Raw genomic sequence first — 19,594 nt, forward strand, 5'->3', positions numbered from 1 at the left:
TGAACATGGGTGTACGGATCTCTCTTTGAGACCCTGTTTTTAATTCGTTTGGGTATGTTATCCAGAAATAGAATTGCTAGAACATATGCTGTTTCTACATTTTATTTTTTGAGGAACTGTCATACCGTTTCCCGTAACAGCTGCACCATTTTACATTCCCACTAACAGTGCACAAAAATTTTAATTTCTCTGCATCCTCCCCAAGACTTACTTTGTTTGTTTGTTTGTTTACTATTTTTATAGCAGTCTTCCTAATCAATATAAGGTGGTATCTCATTATAGTTTTGATTTGCATTTCTCTTACAATTAGCGATGTTGAGCATTTTTTCATATGCTTTTTGATCATTTGTATATCTTCTTTTGAGAAATGTTTATTCAAGTTTTTTGTCCATTTTTTAATTGGATTGTTACCTTTTGGTTGTATCCACATTTTCTGTGTTCACGCAAGTCATTGATAAAATGTAGGACTGGCCCTACATTTTATGGTGGGGCCTGAGGGTAGGCTCCTGTGGCACACTGCTCAAAACCTCACTCCCATGTGCATGGTGTTCACATGAATCATTCAGCAGCTCATGCCCTAACGGGGCTCAGGCCCCACTCTACTGTTCCATCATCAACTCAGTGGGGAAGACTCCAGACTGCCCAGCACTCTGATTCATGCCAACTCTCAGGCTTCCTCTCCTCTTGACAATGTTTGGTTTTCCCTATTCAGGATATAGGAGATAAGGAGTTCGACTTCCCCTGTGTCTTTAACCTCAAAGCAAGAGCATGATTCAAATCTAGGGACTTCTGCAAAATGATCTGGGTAACCTTGAGAAAAAGAGTTCGTCCTTCTAAGCCTCTGTTGCTTTATTTATAAGATGGGGATAACCATCATGGTTCCCCCTCCATAGGATGATTGGGAGAATAGGGTGACTTTAGGGAACTGAACAATGGGTTTCTCACCTGCTACACAGTAAGGCCATCAATCAACAGTAACTCCTGACATTAAGTGTTCTTTCTCCAACATTTCTAAAAGAGACTTTTGCTGTCTTGAGTATTTTCTCATTTATCCTGAAGTCTCTTCTTTGGGGCTTTTTCTTTTCCACCATGAATGTTCCAAGTCTGTGACGCCTGACCTGTTGACCCACCTTTCCACACACCTGTCCAGATCTGAGCCCATTACAGAGTGGTCTGCATAGCTGGAGTGTTGCAGGTGCTTTCTTTTACTTCCTCATGGAGAGTTTCTGTGATTGTAGTCATAGTGCCATCTTTAAAAAGCTTCCCAACTCTCCTGTCTGTATCTCATGTCATGGCAGGAAGCCAGTGTTTTCTCTGACTCTTTTAAAAGGATTCTGTCTTCTGGAAGCTAAGTGCACATGTCCAACTCTGCCCAAAACTTTCCAGTCATAGAATTTAAAGTGAAAAGAGTCACATTCCCACATGCCCTGGGACTTTCACTCTGTCAGCCCTTTCCTCCTTGTTGGGCAGAACTGGTTCAAGAAAAGACAGGAGTCAGGAGAAGGTGCTGGGAACGTCAGCTGGATCCAGATGGGAGAGAAACCTCCTAGGCCATGAGGAGTCATTGAAGGTTCTAAGCAGAGTGGCGATGTGTTTGGAACAGAGCCTTGGGAAGAGTTCTCTTTCGAGGTTATCAGGGTGTGCAAGGGAGGTGATGAAGGAAGAGAAGATTGGAGTGGAAGTGGACAGGCTATGGCAGCTGGTTTGAGGTGGCTGGTGAGAGATCCAGGAGAGTACAACCCTGAGACCTGCTGATCCCATTCCTGAGACCTGGAAGAACTGAAATGCCATCAATAGAGATGTTTGCTGGGGTATCAAGCTAGATGTGGTAATGCTGTGTGCAGAAGGAGAGGGCGATGGGGAACATGGTGCTTTTCCTTTGTGTGACAATTTTGCTATGAGACAAATTTCACATAACACATAACCTACCATTTTGGGCTTTTGGCTGGGTGCAGTGGCTCATGCTTGTAATCCTAGCACTTTGGGAGGCTGAGCTGGGCGGATCACTTGAGCCCAGGAGTTCGAGACCAGCCTGGGAAACATGGCAAAACCCCCTCTCTACAAAATAATAATAATAATAATAATAACAAAAATTAGCCAGGCATGCTGGCACTCACCTGTAGTCTCAGCTGCTTGAGAGGCTGAGGCAGGAGGATCACCTGAGCCCATGAGGTTGAGGCTGCAGTGTGCCATGATTGTACCACTGCACTCCAGCCTAGATGACAGAGTGAGACCCAGTCTCAAAAACAAAAACAAAAAACAAAAATTCCCACCATTTTAAAGTGCACAATTCAGTGGTTTTCACTATATTTACAATGTTGTACAACCATCACCATTATCTAGTTCCAGAATATATTCGTCAGCCCCCAAAAAAAGCTGTACTTGTTAGCAGACACTCCCAATTCCCCCTGCCACTGATACCCCTGTCCTCAGCCCCTTGGAAACCACTAATCTACTGTCCATCTCTACAGAGTTGCCTAGTCCAGACACTTCATATAAATGGAGCCCAGTTAGCATCATGTCTGCAAGGTTCATGTATGCTGTAGCATGTATCAGAACTCCCTTCCTTTTTATGACTGAATAATATTCCATAGTATGGATAGACAACATTTTATCTCTTTATCGGTTGATGGACATTTAGGTTATTTCTACTGCTATCTAATAGGAATAGTGCTGCTGTGAACACTTGTGTCCAAGTTTCTCTGTGGGACCATGTTTTCAACTCTCTTGGGTGTATACCTAGGAGCAAAGTTGCAGGGTCATATGGGAACCCTATGTTTAACTTTTTGAGAAACTGCCAGACCAAACTGTTTTCCAAAGGGGCTGCACCATTTCACATTCCCACCAGTGGTGCATGAGTATTCTGCTTTACCCACATTCTCATTTACACTTATTTTTTTTCTTTTTAAAAAAGTTATAACCATTCAACTGGGTGGGAACTGGCATCTTATTGTGTTTTTGATTTGCATTTCCCTCTTGGCTAATGCTGTTGAGTGTGCAGCTGAAGTTTAGTGAGCACACTACTCACCTATAACTCATAAGTGGAGCAGGTATGAGATTGAGTCCACAACTTCAGATATTCAAGCAATGAACTTTATGTTTCTTCAACATTGCCAGTTTCCATGTTGAACCTTCATTCTGCCACAGTTATGTAACAGGAGCCCAAAGTAACAGTGCCTTAAACTGGGAAAGTTAGATTTCCTCCTTCCATAAGAGTGCAGAGGCAGGTGGTCCCTGTGTCCAGTGGCTGTGCTAGATGGGCCAGCGCAGGCTCTTTCTCTCCTGTGGTTTCATTGTCCTGGGGTGTTCACCTCCTCTGCATCATCCAAGATGTCTCTCATCACATCCATACTCTGAACAGCAGGATGGAAAATGTCCCCTCCCTTTAAGGGGGCAACCCTGAAGTCACACACATTATTTCTTACTTAGCGACAATGCCATCAAGTCCTCTTTTTCTTCAAAGGAAGCTGGAAGTTGTAGTCTTCATGAGCGATGGCCATGCACCAGGTAGAAATCTGTAGTTGTGTTTCTGATAAGAAGAGAACAGATACTGAGGGACAGATCGCAGTCTTGGTCACACTAGGTCTGTTAAATGACATCATTCCCATCATTTGAGTTGGCACAAGGTGGTGGAAACCACAGGGGGAAGACCCACCCTGACACTCTGACGATATTTTTGGGCTGGAAGAGGAAGAAGAATCAGAAATGCCCCAGGCGTGCCCCAAGCACACACTCCATTGAAGGCTGCCCACAAATCTCCATGGCCCTGCACCACCGTCTGCCACCCCATTTTCCCAGTCTGTTCTGTGTGTGGTCTCCTGCCACCCCGTCTCCTTTACCGCCCATCCAGGTCCCAGTCACCGTGTCCTCTGAAGTCCTGGCGACCACTCCCTTGCCTTCCTGTGCACATCTTTTTGGAGCCTTCTGAGGGTGAGGAGGGATGTAGCATCCTTCCACAAGTGAAGCCCTTGACACCCATGGTCTCACTGAATTCTCTAGCATCCCCTGAGGCGGGGCCAGCTGTCCTCATTTTATATGAGAGGACTTGAAAGCTCAGAGCTGCTAAGTACCCAGGACCCCCCTCCACCCTGCCAGAGACGAAGGTGCCAGAATCATGCCCCGGGGGAGCTGGTCCACTCCACTTTAACCCACAGCTGACTCTTTTCTGCCCCAAACCCCAAATCTGTACTTCCAACCCCCACTAACCTGGCACCTAGCATAGCACTCTTCTGTCCAAGGGATTGAAGTTGAGTCTCAGGTAAACCGAATCTGTTTTCTTCTACTCCCAAGATGGAAGAGGAAAAGGGAAAAAAAAGTGGAGAACATGCTTATGAAATCCTCAACTCCCCTTGTTTACTCTGTAAATAGCACAATATGTTTAGATTTTTCCACATCTAGAGGATTTCAAAATCTACCTGGGAGGGAGGGCTGGGGCATCAACTGGTATGCACTGTGCTTTTTAAATTTAAAAAATGCTATGCAAAGAAAAGCACTGCCTTTGGGCCAGGTCACAGCTGCTTCCTTGTCCCAGCGCCTGCTCTCCTGGGTCATCTGGTGGAACTGTCTTTAGCTAGCAGGGTGAGAGGCACCAGAGTGGGAGCAAAAGGTGAGGATTTGGAGCCACAGCAGCCGGGTTTAAGCCCTGCCTCCGCTCCTTGTTTACCAGGACTTGAGGAAGGTTCATCTGAGCCTTGATTTTCCCACTATGAAATCGAGCTAATAATTATCCACCTTGCAGAGATGTTGTGAAGATTCCGTTGTGAAGATTCACACTGGAAGAGTTCAGAAGCTTAGTAAATGCTAATGTTCATGTCATTAGAACTGGGACATTACATGTCCAACTACTACGCAACTGTCTCACAAGCTGTAATTTACTGACCCAGACTTAGAGTTTCTCAGGAAGGAAAAAGAACCTCCCCTCCAGCACCCTAGGAAAGCTCAAGGGCAGTGGCCTGGCTCTCAAAGCATCTGCCTTCCAGGTAACGACTTCCAGTTCCTGCCATGGGACTTGGGCTTCGGCCCTTGCCTTCCCTGACAGTTGGGCCTGGGAGAGGATCAGGAGGTATTGCCTGGAGGGACAGAGACAGAGCTGGGGCAAAGTTCCCAGGCAGCTGCCAGCCCTGGAAGCAGGACACAGTGAGTGTGGCAAGGTCAGGAAGCACGCGGAGACCCAGGAGGGGCCCGACACTGTGATGTGACAGGTGGGCTGACTTACACAGTGCAGGCAGACATCTACACTCAGGGCAGGTGACCCAGGTGGCCCAGGATGGCAGCCAGCAGGGCCCTATGGTGTACCTATAATTTTGGAGTGAAATCTAACTTAGGTGGGTGTCCACTCACTGCCTGCCAGTCTCGGATGGGTTCTGACAACAGAGGAAACAGCTTAGTGGAAGCATAGAAAAATAGCAGCAGATAACAGCTCTGGAAACTAAACCTCTGGGTGGTAGAACTGCAGGGGACTCAAGGGAGCATGTCATTCCACCTCTTCATTTTGTGGAGGAGAAACCAATGCCCATGGAGACCAATGTCTTATCCACTACGACACAGCAGGCCAATGGCCTAGGGCCAGTCTGGGGCTCTTTCTCCTCCACCATGGCTTCTCAGCATTGTCAACTCAGTCTCCTCTTTACATGACAAATATTTTGTAATGACCTCTTTACTATCCTGATATAGCATTTATAGATAATATAACCTGCCTTTATCCATAATAAAAAATCGATGTAATGCCCTACCTGTAATATAGGGAGAAATAAAACGAAAGTCATTTATAATAAAGTAGTTCAATAAGTAAATACACAGGCACAACTGTACTCAAATGAATGCCACAGCTATACACACAGACTGATGGAGGTAGGTTGTATTGTATTTGTGACTTCAATACCTTAAGTGTTGTTGCTGTTGATTACGTGATTTTTCTTTTTTTTTTTTCTTTGAGAGGGAGTCTCACTCTGTTGCCCAGGCTGGAGTGCAGTGGTGTGATCTCGGCTCTCTGCAACCTCTGCCTCCCGGGTTCAAGCGTTTCTCCTGCCTCAGCCTTCCAAGTAGCTGGGATTACAGACAGGCACCACCATGACCAGCTGATTTTTGTATTTTTGGTAGAGATGGGGTTTCATCATTTTGGCCAGGCTGGTCTCGAACTCCTGACCTCAAGTGATCCACCCACCTCAGCCTCTCAAAGTGCTGGGATTACAGGTGTGAGCCGCTGCACCTGACTGATTTTGTGATTTTTCTGAAATGGCAAACAACTCTCGGTAAAGACACAGTGCAAGCTCCCCTCTGTAGAGAAATGTGAGCCCGTTTCCTGGAATGCAGCATGAGGCTGGGGTAAAGTGGTGATGCTTTCTCTAGGAGGTACAATCCCAGGGCAGCAAGCATGAAAGACAAGGAAGCGTGGCAGTGAAGGTGGAAAGCCACACAAACTTATGCGCTGCTGGACAGCCGCTGCTTCAAGACATGCTGTGAGGAGGGTGTGTACGCTCGGCCACACGGGAAGTCCCCAGCCAGCTTGTACAGAGAAATCAAACTTTAGAACAGTCCCCAGGGAGAAGGAAGAAAGTGGGAATCCTGATACCCAATGGCCAAAGTTCATTCCATGGGGAATTGACTCTCCTGTACTTCTGGGTTATGTTATCTGGTCCCTTGGCAACTGAGCAGGAAGCCAGATCACACCTCCTTGAGCGTGGCCTGTTATGTGATGCTAGAAGCAACAGAAGCATTCTGAGATTCACGGCACAAGGGCACATGGCTGGTGGGGCTTAGGTGGTGGAATGAGGATGCCTTGTTGAGACTCAGGTGGAGCAGAAAGCTGAAAGCCCAGGTGGCAAGGTGCAGCGAAGAGAATCTGAGGAGATGAATATGCTGTGTCCGATCCAATATAGTGATTGCAATCCTGGAAGACCCGTTGTATGTTAAAACCTTTTAAATTTTTTATGTTTATATATGAAAAAGAGTTACATTTCAAGCTCAGATCACTATAAAGATGTTTTTCAATCTATTCCAATGTTTAGTGGAACATCTGAAAGTCACATAGAGCACGGGACGATTATTTATTCTGTCCCTTAGATTTCAGGAAAATGATCACTGATATTTGTAAGTTTTAGGCCTTGTTCTAGGGGCTTTGTAAAGGTTGATTCACAGCATGTGCACAACAATCTTGGGAGGTAGGCATGGTTATTATTGCCATTTTACAGATGAGGAAACTGAGGCCAGAGAAGTTTACACAGCCAATCAGTGCTAGAACTGTGATTGGAACTCAGGGGTCTGGATCTTCAGCGGTTCCAGTCTTCATCCTCTAAATGCCACTGGTATCTCCTCTACCAATTGTTGGGACAAGAAACACACTCCCAGAAATTTCTCCCCAGCCCATGGGAGCAGTATGTTCCCCACAGGCCCTTTGCACAGTTCACAGATGGACACATGGCCCCCAGGGAGCTGGGCCTGCTGGGGCCACCACCTAGAGCCCCAGGTTTACTAACCCTGAGCAGGGTCAGGGATGGAGTGGGTGCAAGGGGGCCTGCAGGAAAGGGAAAGGTGAAGGGAGGAAGAATTTGGAGCCTCCTTGTGCGCCATTTCGCTGTGCTTCTAGATGCTTTCATGGCGGGCTGGGCGTTTGGCTGAAGTGGTGGCTACAGATTTCAAGGTGTTTTAAAGGCTATCACCCAGACTCCGGTCAGGCACCAGAGAAAATAAAAACGAAACCCCAACCCCAAACCAAGCCAATCTCCTGTTTCTGGGTCTGAGGGCTCCAGGGGATTTCAGAGGATGAGGGCACATCTGAGGTCCTCGTGGTCATCTTGTTTCCTGGCTAACTTCGCCTCCTTCCACTCCACTCTGATCCTTTGGGCCTCCCCGATCTCCCTTAACCCTGAGTTCACCCCTGAGCCCCTTCACCCTCCACTGAGAGGGGCCCTGGCCCCTGCATCTCTTCCTTCTCTGGCTCTGAGTCTCTGTGATGTGCCAGTGCTGTGCTCCTGGCCGCAGTGTAACAGACCTTCTGGCCTGTCTTGAATTTCCTGCACTCAGGATATACAAAGTTGGAGTTGAGATGGTGGATGAGGCATAGCTCACAAAGAGTATTAGTTCTCCCATTAAAATGGGCAGCTGTTTAATTTCATGCCAACTCATGATGGCATTTTCCAGAACAGAAAAAAATAAACAGAAAAAAAAAGAGAGAAACAAAAACCAATGCAAGATGAGTTTCCATTTGGAAATCAAATATGTGTCCATTTATTTGCACCTGAGATTCTAGAGGCAAAGGAATTCCAAGCTTCGCTAGTGGACCTTGAGTTTTCCCTCCCTACTCACAATGACTACAGGGGCTCTGGGTGTCACTTTGAGACCTGGCTTCAGCCCAGGTGTGCTATGTCTGCACAGATGTGCTGTCTCCTCAACTGCTTCCACACCCTGCTGCACCCCATGTGCCGCTGCCCAGGAGCCGGCAGAGCCCCAGCGGGCCCTTTGTCACTCGCTACCCAATGTGCATTCTCCAGTGGGCACAGCAGGCAACCCTGCTCCGCGGGCCTCTGCCCGAGCCAGGGATTACGGGATGGGCTTGCCTGCAGTGGCAGATGGTAGTGCTTAGAGCTAAACTGCATTTGGCGCTTTGAACATCTTGAAAAGATTTCTTTAGAAGTTAAACTTGGCTTAGGAGTGACAATATGTTTCAGTCTGTGTCTTTGAAAAGGCCTCAGGGTGGTGCGAGGGGGGTTGGCTGTTTCATGGTTCCCTGCCTTGTCTTGGCTGTTTTCCACGGAGTCCTGTTTCTCATGGGTCCTGCAGTCACAGTGGCTTCTAAATTTTGGCTCCATTGTTTGGAAGTCACATTTGTTTCTGTACATGTGCTGTGGGAAAGGCCACACTGGCTGTCCTGCAAGGACACATTTAGATGCCTCTGGGCAGTGGGAGAAGCGCATGCCTTGGGGCACACATGGAGGCAGAGGGCGTTGTGTCCTGCACCAGGGCTGAGTTTTGCTGTTGCCCCTGCTTCAGCCTATCAAGGGGTTGACAAGCATCCGGGCAGGGTTTGGGGTCCCAAACCTTTTGGCATCAGTGAGGACCAATTGACAGCTTCTTGCCTCCTGGAGCTCATGGCTAATTGCACTGGAATAATACCCTCCAAATCCCCATCCTAGGCTTGTCCTATTTAACGAATCCTTTGGGGGACAAAGGGTTTGATCATCTCTGAGCTCAGATAACATCTCTCTTCCCCATCCCACAATTTTCCCATCCTCAATTTGGCCACTGTAAACTCTGTCAGGAAAAACCCAGCCTTCCTCCCAAGGAAGGCACCCAGGAGCACCTTCTGGGGTGAGTGAAGCCCTGAAATTGGCAGAAAGGCAAGGCGAGTGTCCAGCTTGCATGCCAGGCTGGCCAGTGCATCTCTCAGTGGCTTCTGCAGTCAGAGCAGGCTCCATTGACCATTCATGAGATGTCAGGTGGTCTACAGATGGGAACACAGCATTATTGATTTTTACTAGCCTGCTAAAATGGAAGGGAAAATACCCTTCTTAAAAGCTCCCGGTTAAGCTTTGTTTCCTAAATGGTGATTCCAGGGCTCTGAGTTTGTCAAAGGCAAATTTAAAATAACAGGACTGTTGAAGATATAATAAAATGAAATCTTCTTACAGCCATTAACTTCAGAGAGGAGATCTCTGACTCAGGCTTGGAGGCTAAGGGGGAGAGGGAGAGAGACCCACAGAGTGGGGGAAGGGGGAGAGAGGAAGCTGAAAGAACAAAACCAGCAGCTCTGCCCCTCATGGCAGCCCCTTTGATAAGATCGGATGTGAATGTAAAGAAATGAATTCCACCTTCTCTAAATTGACAACAGTTCCCTGGCCAAGCAACGACGGGATGTGATCAGGGAGCACTGGCCTGATGGGCCCCCACCAAGTGCACTGACTTGGAAAATGGGGAAAGTTGGGGGTCAGGCGATGAGCTCTGGGGGAGGAAGCTGGAGAATGAGGAGGCTCCAATTGCCCTACCACTATTACTTATTTAGATGTTGTTTCTTGTTCATCTTCCTGAGAGCTCTCGTAGTCCCAATGACTGGAACACAGATGAGGACACGGTCGTGTCTGCAGGGGTGTCTGCACTTCCAGTTGGCTTGCTTGGATGTGTGTGGTTCTTGGAGCCATCTTGGGTGATTTTCCTCCAAATCTTTGACATTAGGGAAAGCCTTTCATGCGCGTCCGTGTGAAGAGACCACCAAACAGGCTTTGTGTGAGCAACATGGCTGTTTATTTCACCTGGGTGCAGGCGGGCTGAGTCCAAAAAGACAGTCAGCGAAGGGAGATAGGGGTGGGGCTGTTTTATAAGATTTGGGCAGGTAAAGGAAAATTACAGTCAAAGGGGGTTTGTTCTCTGGTGGGCAGGAGTGGGGGGTCGCAAGGGCTCAGTGGGGGTGCTTTTTGAGCCAGGATGAGCCAGGAAAAGGACTTTCACAAGGTAATGTCATCACTTAAGGGAAGGACCGGCCATTTACACTTCTTTTGTGGTGGAATGTCATCAGTTAAGGCGGGGCAGGGCATTTTCACTTCTTTTGTGATTCTTCAGTTACTTCAGGCCATCTGGGCATATGCGTGCAAGTCACAGGGGATGCGATGGCTTGGCTTGGGCTCAGAGGCCTGACATTCCTGCCTTCTTATATTAATAAGAAAAATGAAACAAAATAGTGTTGAAGTGTTGGGGCAGCGAAAATTTTTGGGGGGTGGTGTGGAGAGAGAGAATGGGCGATGTTTCTCAGGGCTGCTTCGAGCGGGATTGGGGCGGCATGGGAACCTAGAGTGGGAGAGATTAAGCTGAAGGGAGATCTTGTGGTAAGGGGTGATATTGTGGGGTTGTTAGAAGAAACATTTGTCATATAGAATGATTGGTGATGGCCTGGATACGGTTTTGGATGAATTGAGAAACTAAATGGAAGATACGAGGTCCGAATAAAAGAAGGAGAAAAATGGGTATTAAAGAACTAAGAATTGGGAGGACCCAGGACATCCAATTAGAGAGTGCCCAAGGGGATTCAGTGTAATTACTTGCTTGGTTGGCAAGTTTTTGGGCTCTATCCTTGAGTTTTTTTATGTTGTCATACACCAGGCCAGATTGATTTAGGTAAAAACAACACTCTTCATTTAAGAATATACAGAATCCTCCTTTTTCAACAGTGAGTAAGTCAAGGCCTCGGCAGTTTTGGAGGACAACTGCAGCTAAAGAGTCAACTTGGGCCTGGAGGACTGATAAAGTTTGTGATATGTCTGTGATGCTAGCAGAGAAGTCATTAGACAGGCTACGGAAGGTCGTGACAGAGGTTGAAATGCCTGCTATTCCAGTACCGAGAGCAATAGTGGAGGCAGAAAGTCCTAAACCAACCATCAAGGGAATTAGTGGAATAACTCTTTTTTGTCATGTCGGTGTCATGAGGGGAACAGGGAGCTCTTCGGTCCCATTTGCAAATTGAATTTTGGGGGTAAGGAAAACTAGTGTGCATGTGCCTGTCCAATTAGCAGGTAGACACATGTAGGTAGAGGATCCACAGAGGAAGAAGAGACCTTGTGCAAGGCAAAACTGGAGATGTAAAGTAAAAAGGTGAGGAGTGCTGAAAGGGGTGTCTTGTACCCAGACTCCTAGGGATCCAGCTAGGGCGGCAGCCGTCAGAGGTTGTAATGGGGACTGATGGGGTAACTGCATAGAGGAGGAGGTTCGATTTTCATGGTGTATGAGAAAACGTTGACTATCCACGAGCAACCTTTCACTGTTATTTTCGGGACTGGGTATAAGTAAACAAGAAGAGGACTTGGGAGGAGAGTCTGATGAGCAAGTGGAAGGTAGCCAAGGATGGAGTGAAATACAGCGTAAGTGTGTTCCTAAGCAATAATTACTGCTAATGTTTTTAAGTTTGTCAGTATTGATAGAGGGCTTGTCTGTAATATGGAGCTGGAAGGCTCCAATTGTTTCAGTGATGTGTGTAGTTGGGCTTCGGAGATGAAGAGTAAAGGAACATCGAGAAGGTAAAATATTACCTAGGGGAATTCCAGTGGGTCTTTGCCGAGAGATACATAAAGGAGCGGCCACAGGAATAGTAGTTTGTGTTGTGAGAGGTCCAAATATGGGGGGAGTAGAGTATAAAGAGAAAGGTTTTTTAAATAAGTGCGGAGGAGGGCGGCAGCTTGCTGATGTGAAATGTCTGGGGAAGTCTTGCTGGACCTGTCTAGAAAGTAAATGAGTTCTTTAGGAGGGTAAAGGTGAGGGCTGTTAAAGGAAGTTCGGAGGTGTAAGGAGACAGGAGATGTTGCCCAGTCTGTCTGTAAGGCGGGGACAGCTATGTAGGCACTGGAAGAAAGGGAAATGCAAAGCCAGCAGTTGGTCACTAAGGAGGGATTAGAAGCTGCTAGGAGAGAATGGGTAAGGTTGATAGTGTGGTGGAGATAGCTGGGGAGAGGTAAAGGGTGGCATGAGAATGGGAATGAGAATAAGAGTGAGTATAAAAGTAAAGAATAGAACTTCATCAGGGTGGAAGTATTGGAGGGTGCCCTGCCAGCAAAGATCATCTACCCACTCTGAGAGGGAATTAAGAGTGGCAGTTTGGGGATAGCACCAAGAGATATCAGCTGTGATGGCTTGAAGAAACAGTGTAAACCAGCAGTGTAAACAAGAGTAGGGCATTTATAAGTAGTTGAGAACAGAGAATAGGAGTAAGACTAGACAGAAAATAGTAGGGATGACAAGGTTTTTGGGGCTCAGCCTAAGTGGTGGGGTGACTTCATAAAGCCCTGTTGCAAAAAGTAGGGTAAGGACGAACAGACCTAATAGAATGAAGGGATGGTTAGGCTTATAAGGGTTATTACTGTTCTTCAGAAATACGAGTGAGTTTAAGGGAAGTAGGGGAGAGTACTTGTGACTTCCAGGAGGAAGAGGAGGGATTAGGTTGGCTGTCCGATGGACACAGCTTTATTCTGGAATGGTGAACCCAGTGGGGAGGATCCTGCAGGCGGACGGCAGTTGGGGTACTATAGATGACTACGTAGGGTCCGGTCCATCCAGGTTGTAGAGTTTGAGGGGTCAGATTCTTAATAAGAACTGATCATCCAGCTAGGGTGTCTTCATATGGCTGGGGATCTGGAGTAGGCAAGTGAAGATTAGCAGCCTGGCGAATTTCCTGTCTAGCCTGTTGGAGGACTGGAAGATAGTCACCTAGAGGGCTGGTGTCTGAGATGAGGTTGGGGCCAAGCAAGAAAGTGCGTCCATATAGAAGTTCAAATGGACTGTACCCTGTAGCATCTCGAGGACAGGCTCTAATTCTGAGAAGGGCAAGAGGTAAAAGCACTGTCCAATCCTTTTTAAGTTGGAGGCTGAGCTTGGTGAGGTGTGTCTTTAAAAGACCATTAGTCCGTTCTACTTTTCTTGAAGATTGAGGATGGTAAGGGATATGAAGGTCCCACTGAATATCAAGAGCCTGAGAAACTGCTTGGGTGATTTGACTAGAAAAGGTTGGTCTGTTATCAGACTGTATAGAGGTGAGAAGGCCAACCAAGGAATTCTGTCTGACAGAAGGAAATAAATGACCACGGTGGCCTTCTCAGACCCTGTAGGAAAGGACTCTACCTATCCAGTGGAAATGTCTACCCTAGACTAAGAGGTATTTTAGTTATCTGACTCGGGGCATGTAAGTAAAGTCAATTTGCCAGTCCTGGGCAGGGACAAATCTTCGAGCTTGATGTGTAGGAAATGGAGGGGACCTGAACAATCCCTGAGGGGCTAGTAGAATAGCAGATGGAACACTGAGAAGTGATCTCCTTGAGGATAGATTTCCATGATGGAAAGGAAATGAGAGGTTCTAAGAGACGGGCTAGAGGCTTGTACTATAGCATAGCCTGCTTTTGCTGGTGTGTGGCGATTAGGCCTGGTGGAACTGCCATCAATAAATCAAGCGTGATCAGGGTGAGAAACAGGGAAGAAGGAAATGTGGGGAAATGGAGTGAACGTCAGGTGGATCAGAGAGATACAGTCATGGGGGTCAGCTGTGGTAACAGGAATAATGTGGGAGGCCGGATTGAAGTCCGGGCCAGGAACAATGGTAATTGTGGGACTTAACAAAGAGTGAGTACAGCTGAAGGAGCCAGGGAGCAGAAAGTATATGCGTCAGGTATGAGGAAGAACATCGATTCTGGAAGTTATGAGAAATGTAAAGAGTAAGTTGAAGATAGTTTGTGATTTTGAGGGCCTCTGAAAGTATTAGGGCAGCAGCAGCTGCTACACGGAGACATGATGGCTAGGCTAAAACAGTAAGGTCAAGTTGTGTGGACAGAAAGGCTACAGGGTGCGGTCCTGGCTCTTGTGTAAGAATTCTGACTGCACTAACCATGCCTAGGAAGGAAAGGAGTGGTTTTGTAAGGGATTGAGGTTTGGGAGATTAATTGGACTCGATCAGCAGGGAGAGCACGTGTGTTTTTATGAGAATTATGCTGAGATAGGTAACAGTTAAGGAAGAAATTTAGGCTTGACTGAAGTAATGGGGGCTGCCTGTGAAGCTTTGCGGCAGTACAGCCCAGGTAATTTGCTGAGCCTGATGGGTGTCAGGGTCAGTCCAAGTGAAAGCGAGGAGAGGCTGGGATGATGGGTGCAAAGGAATAGTAAAGAAAGCATGTTTGAGATCCAGAACAGAATAATGGGTTGTGGAGGGAGGTATTGAGTATAGGAGAGTATATGGGTTTGGCACCATGGGGTGGATAGGCAAAACAATTTGGTTGATAAAGCATAGATCCTGAACTAACTTGTAAGGCTTGTCTGGTTTTAGGACAGGTAAAATGGGGGAATGATAAGGAGAGTTTATAGGCTATAAAAGACCATGCTGTAGCAGGCGAGTGATAACAGGCTTTAATCCTTTCAAAGCATGCTGTGGGATGGGATATTGGCGTTGAGCAGGGTAAGGGTGATTAGGTTTTAATGAGATGGTAAGGGGTGCATGATTGGTCACCAAGGAGGGAGTAGAGGTATCTTATACTTGTGGGTTAAGGTGGGGGAATACAAGAGGAGGACACAAAGGAGGCTTTGGATTGGGAAGGAAGGCAGCAATGAGATGTAGCTATAATCCAGGAATAGTCAGGGAAGCAGATAATTTAGTTAAAGTGTCTCGGCCTAATAAGGGAACTGGGCAGGTGGGGATAACTAAAAGGAGTGCTTAAAAGAGTATTGTCTAAGTTGGCACGAGAGTTGGGGAGTTTTAAGAGGTTTAGCAACCTGGCTGTCAATACCCACAACAGTTATGGAGGCAAGGGAAACAGGCCCTTGAAAAGAAGGTAATGTGGAGTGGGTAGCCTCCATATTGATTAAGAAGAGGACGGACTTACCTTCCACTGTGAGAGTTACCCGAAGCTCGGCGTCCGTGATGGTCTAGGGGGCTTCCGAGGCGATCGGGCAGCGTCAGTCTTCAGCCGCTAAGCCAAGAAGATCTGGGAAGGAGTCAGAGAGCCTTGGGCCAGAGTTCCAGCGGCTGTGGGAGTGGCTGTCAGGTGAGTTGGACAGTCCGATTTCCAGTGGGGTCCTGCACAGATGGGACACGGCTTAGGAGGAATCCTGGGCTGCAGGCATTCCTTGGCCTGGTGGCCAGATTTCTGGCACTTGTAGCAAGCTCCTGGGGGAGGAGGTTCTGGAGGAACGCCTGGCTGCTGCAGTTCAGGCATTTGGAAGTTCTTGTGTGCTGGAGATGTGGCTGGGATTCGTCTCACAGTGGAGGCAAGGAATTGCAACTTTTCTCTATTATTGTACACCTTGAAGGCGAGGTTAATTAAATCCTGTTGTGGGGTTTGAGGGCTGGAATTTAATTTTTGGAGTTTTATTTAATGTCAGGAGCAGATTGGGTAATAAAATGTATTTTGAGAATAAGACGGCCTTTTGACCTTTTAGGGTCTAGGGCTGTAAAGTGTCTCAGGGTTGCTGCTGAACGAGTCATGAATTGGGCTGGATTTTTATATTTGATGAAAAAGAGCCTAAATGCTATCTGATTTGGGATAAAGAAAAAGGAGCATTAACCTTGACTATGCCTTTAGCTCTCCAGCCACCTTTTTAAGAGTAAATTGCTGGGCAGGTGGGGGAGGGCTAGTCACGGAATGAAACTGTAAGCCGGACCGGGTGTGAGGAGGGGAGGTGATAAAAGGATTATAGGGTGGAGGAGCAGAGGCTGAGGAAGAATTGGGACCTAGCTCGGCCTGGCGAGGAGCAGCCTGGGGAGGAGGGGAGAGGTCAGATGGGTCTGTAGAAAAGGAATATTAGAAAGACTCAGCGACGCTTGGGGTTGGGACTGAGGGGACAGGTGGGAGGGTAAAAAGGAAGATTTGGGACAAGTTGCACTGGGCACAGAGACTAGGGAGGGACCAATGTGTAAAAGAATGCCTGGACATCAGGCACCTCAGACCATTTGCCCATTTTACGACAAGAATTATTTAGATCTTGCAGGATGGAAAAATTGAAAGTGCTGTTTTCCGGCTATTTGGAACTACTGTCGAGTTTGTATTGGGGTCAAGCGGCATTGCAGAAGAAAATAAGACACTTAGATTTTAGGTCAGGTGAGAGTTGAAGAGGTTTTAAGTTCTTAAGAACACAGGCCAAAGGAAAAGAAGGAGGAACGGAGGGTGGAATTTTGCCCATAGTGAAGGAGGCAAGTTTAAAGAAAAGGGAGAGTAGAGACACGGAGGGAAGCGGTTTGGGGGTTCTTACCCTCCAGAAAAGCAGGAAAGGGGTCAGGGCACAGAGATACAAGGTTGGGGTGCAGAAATAAGGGATCAGGGCACAGAGAAATAAGAGGTTGGGGTGTGGAAATAAGGGATCGGGGTGCAGAGATATAAGAGGTCGGGGCACGGAAATAAGGGATTGGGGTGCAGAGATAAGAGGTCAGTGCGTGGAAATAAGGGATTGGGGGGCAGAGATATAAGAGGTTGGGGTGTGGAAATAAGGGATTGGGGCACAGAGATACGAGGTTGGGGTACTTGCCCTCCTCTAAAAAAGCGGGACTTGCCACTAAGAGTGAAGGAGAAGGGGTTGGGGGTTTCTTGCCCCCCAGAAAGGCAGAGAAGGGGTAGAGACACAGAGAGAAGTGGTTGGGGTACTTGTCCCTTCCCCAGAAAAGCGGGACTTGCCGCTAAGGGTGAAGGACCAAGGCAGGCGTCCCTGCATGGTCTGACACCTCTGAAACCTGGAAGAATAATCAGAGAGGCTTCCCTGCAATGATTAAACACCAAGGGAAGGCTGCCTTCCCTAGTCCGTGACCAGCGCCAGAGTTTTGGGTCCACGGATAAAACGTGTCTCCTTTGTCTCTACCAGAAAATGAAAGGAATTGAAATTAAGAGAAGGGAGAGATATTGAAGTGTGGCGCCAAGATTGAAAGGAGAAAGAGGTTGAGGGATAGTGAGGGAGGTTGGAAAAGAGAGTAAAAAGAGGCCACTTACTGGATTTGAAATTGGTGAGATGTTTCTTGGGCTGGTTGGTCTAAGGACCTGAGGTTGTAGGTGGATCTTTCTCACGGAGCAAAGAGCAGGAGGACAGGGTACTGATCTCCCAAGGGAGGTCCCCCTATCCGAGTCACATCACCAAATTTCATGAGCGTCCGTGTGAAGAGACCACCAAACAGGCTTTGTGTGAGCAACATGGCTGTTTATTTCACCTGGGTGCAGGCGGGCTGAGTCCAAAAAGACAGTCAGCGAAGGGAGATAGGGGTGGGGCTGTTTTATAAGATTTGGGCAGGTAAAGGAAAATTACAGTCAAAGGGGGTTTGTTCTCTGGTGGGCAGGAGTGGGGGTCGCAAGGTGCTCAGTGGGGGTGCTTTTTGAGCCAGGATGAGCCAGGAAAAGGACTTTCACAAGGTAATGTCATCACTTAAGGGAAGGACCAGCCATTTACACTTCTTTTGTGGTGGAATGTCATCAGTTAAGGCGGGGCAGGGCATTTTCACTTCTTTTGTGATTCTTCAGTTACTTCAGGCCATCTGGGCATGTACATGCAAGTCACAGGGGATGCAATGGCTTGGCTTGGGCTCAGAGGCCTGACAAAGCCCCTTAGGGAAATTATCCTGTGAGTCCACCAAAGGATTTGTGCTTATGAGGTGGACTCCTAGAAATGAGGGTTCTGCATCGTGACCGAGCCACTATATCCTCCTAAGTGTCTGTACATATGTGTGTGTGCATTTCTGTGTGTCCATATGTGTGCATATGTGTATGTGTGCATGAGTGTTCATATGCGTGTGTGTGCACTTGTATTATGGTCATGTGTGTGCATGTGCTTATGTGTGCATGTATGTGCGTGTGTGCATGCCTGTGTATTAATATGTGTGTGCATGTATGTGTGTGCATATGTGTGTGTGTGTGGTCTTTATCTGCCTGTTGGATTGATATGGGAATATGGGAATGCTATTTGGCTGGTGCCGACCTTCTTCTGATCTGCACAATGGCACTGCAGCACTGTAGAAAATATATTGATTGATTGATTGATTGATCTTTTTGAAATTAAATGAGCAGGGATCTGGGAGTCATGAGACCTGGGATCTGACCAGTGGATCAGTCAGCAGATATCTATTGAGCACAGGGAAGCACTATGCTGGGCACTATGGAGGAATCGAAGAAGCAAATGATACTCTTCTGCCTCCAGTTAATAAAAGTGTGTGGGGCAGTCACCAATTTCTGTTGGGCCCTCTGACTATGAATCCTGAAATCACAAAACTCTGGAGTTGCACAGGGGCATGGGAATGCCTTCGCCCTGTCCTCTTACCTCCTGGATGAGGAAGCTGAGGATGAGGGAATTGAGCTGACTCATGTCATGTTCCATTGGAGTGTCCTGAATTCCGGTCTGTGATTATTGACCAGTTGAACAGCTCTGCCTTTCCGAAAAGATCACATGGGCTCTGCTCTCATTTTTGCCAGGGGACCCAGCAGAAATGAGGCCTGCCCATCTTCAGAATTTATCTTCTATCAGATGGGCAGGGCAGCCCCTCACAAGTGCTGGGAAGCTCAGCAAAAATGTCCTTGGAAGGTACTTTTCGTCCATAGCAGGGGGATGAAAGTGACTCGGATTAGAACTGCATTATTATAATGATTACACAACAATTAACTTTTATCTTGCAATAACTAAATTCCAGATGCTTTGCCGAGGGCTTTATATGCATCATCTATTTTAACTTTCAGAACACGATGTGAGTACTATTATTATCTGTGGTTTATGTGTAAGGACACTGAAGCTCAGAGAAGTGACAAGACTTGCCCAGTGACACATAGTTGGTGCCTGGATTTGCGCATGAATACCAGCTCCAGTGGTTGAGCAAAAAATCTCATCAACTTAAGTTATTTTCGTTTCTACGATTCCCAAGGACAGTCTACCATTTATTTATTACTAAAAGCAGTTGCTATTTCTATGTTAATGTAGACAAAGTGTGTGCTAGTCCCCCTTTATAAAGCCAAGGTTGGGCATCAGACAGATACATTTCTAGTAACTAACCCTTTTCATCGAAGGTTGGCAGCATCCTGTCAAACTTCATAGGCATACGGGGAGAGGAACTGTAATTAAGTCTGTGGTGTAACAGACTAAAACAGAATGCGAAATTACTGGAGTCTTGTGGTTT

General features: G+C 47.1%; 1 long non-coding RNA gene across 2 annotated transcripts, besides 4 other annotated features; it reads right to left on the minus strand.

Annotated features, from left to right (window-relative positions):
- Positions 1-87: 87 nt before the first annotated feature.
- Positions 88-17,648, minus strand: LINC-ROR (long intergenic non-protein coding RNA, regulator of reprogramming). Of its 2 annotated transcripts, NR_152602.1 has the most exons (5): positions 17,433-17,648; positions 15,339-15,532; positions 2,160-2,215; positions 1,930-2,058; positions 88-1,770 (listed from the first exon to the last, which is right to left on the minus strand). It is a non-coding gene; the product is annotated as a long intergenic non-protein coding RNA, regulator of reprogramming (long non-coding RNA). The 2 variants fall into 2 exon arrangements; NR_048536.2 differs by lacking the exons at positions 1,930-2,058; positions 2,160-2,215 and adding an exon at positions 3,029-3,529 and having other exon boundaries at positions 88-1,779.
- Positions 7,219-8,108: an enhancer, noted in NCBI's record as "H3K27ac-H3K4me1 hESC enhancer chr18:54728921-54729810 (GRCh37/hg19 assembly coordinates)". NCBI's record gives its function as "activates a minimal SCP1, AML or CMV promoter by ChIP-STARR-seq in naive H9 embryonic stem cells {active_cell/tissue: H9 hESC(naive)}" and the evidence as "EXISTENCE:reporter gene assay evidence [ECO:0000049][PMID:30033119]".
- Positions 10,207-10,742: an enhancer, noted in NCBI's record as "OCT4-NANOG-H3K27ac hESC enhancer chr18:54731909-54732444 (GRCh37/hg19 assembly coordinates)". NCBI's record gives its function as "activates a minimal SCP1, AML or CMV promoter by ChIP-STARR-seq in naive H9 embryonic stem cells {active_cell/tissue: H9 hESC(naive)}" and the evidence as "EXISTENCE:reporter gene assay evidence [ECO:0000049][PMID:30033119]".
- Positions 17,067-17,780: an enhancer, noted in NCBI's record as "OCT4-NANOG-H3K27ac hESC enhancer chr18:54738769-54739482 (GRCh37/hg19 assembly coordinates)". NCBI's record gives its function as "activates a minimal SCP1, AML or CMV promoter by ChIP-STARR-seq in naive H9 embryonic stem cells {active_cell/tissue: H9 hESC(naive)}" and the evidence as "EXISTENCE:reporter gene assay evidence [ECO:0000049][PMID:30033119]".
- Positions 17,781-18,494: an enhancer, noted in NCBI's record as "OCT4-NANOG-H3K27ac hESC enhancer chr18:54739483-54740196 (GRCh37/hg19 assembly coordinates)". NCBI's record gives its function as "activates a minimal SCP1, AML or CMV promoter by ChIP-STARR-seq in naive H9 embryonic stem cells {active_cell/tissue: H9 hESC(naive)}" and the evidence as "EXISTENCE:reporter gene assay evidence [ECO:0000049][PMID:30033119]".

This window comes from Homo sapiens, chromosome 18 (assembly GCF_000001405.40).
Source record: "Homo sapiens chromosome 18, GRCh38.p14 Primary Assembly".
NCBI lineage: Eukaryota > Metazoa > Chordata > Mammalia > Primates > Hominidae > Homo > Homo sapiens.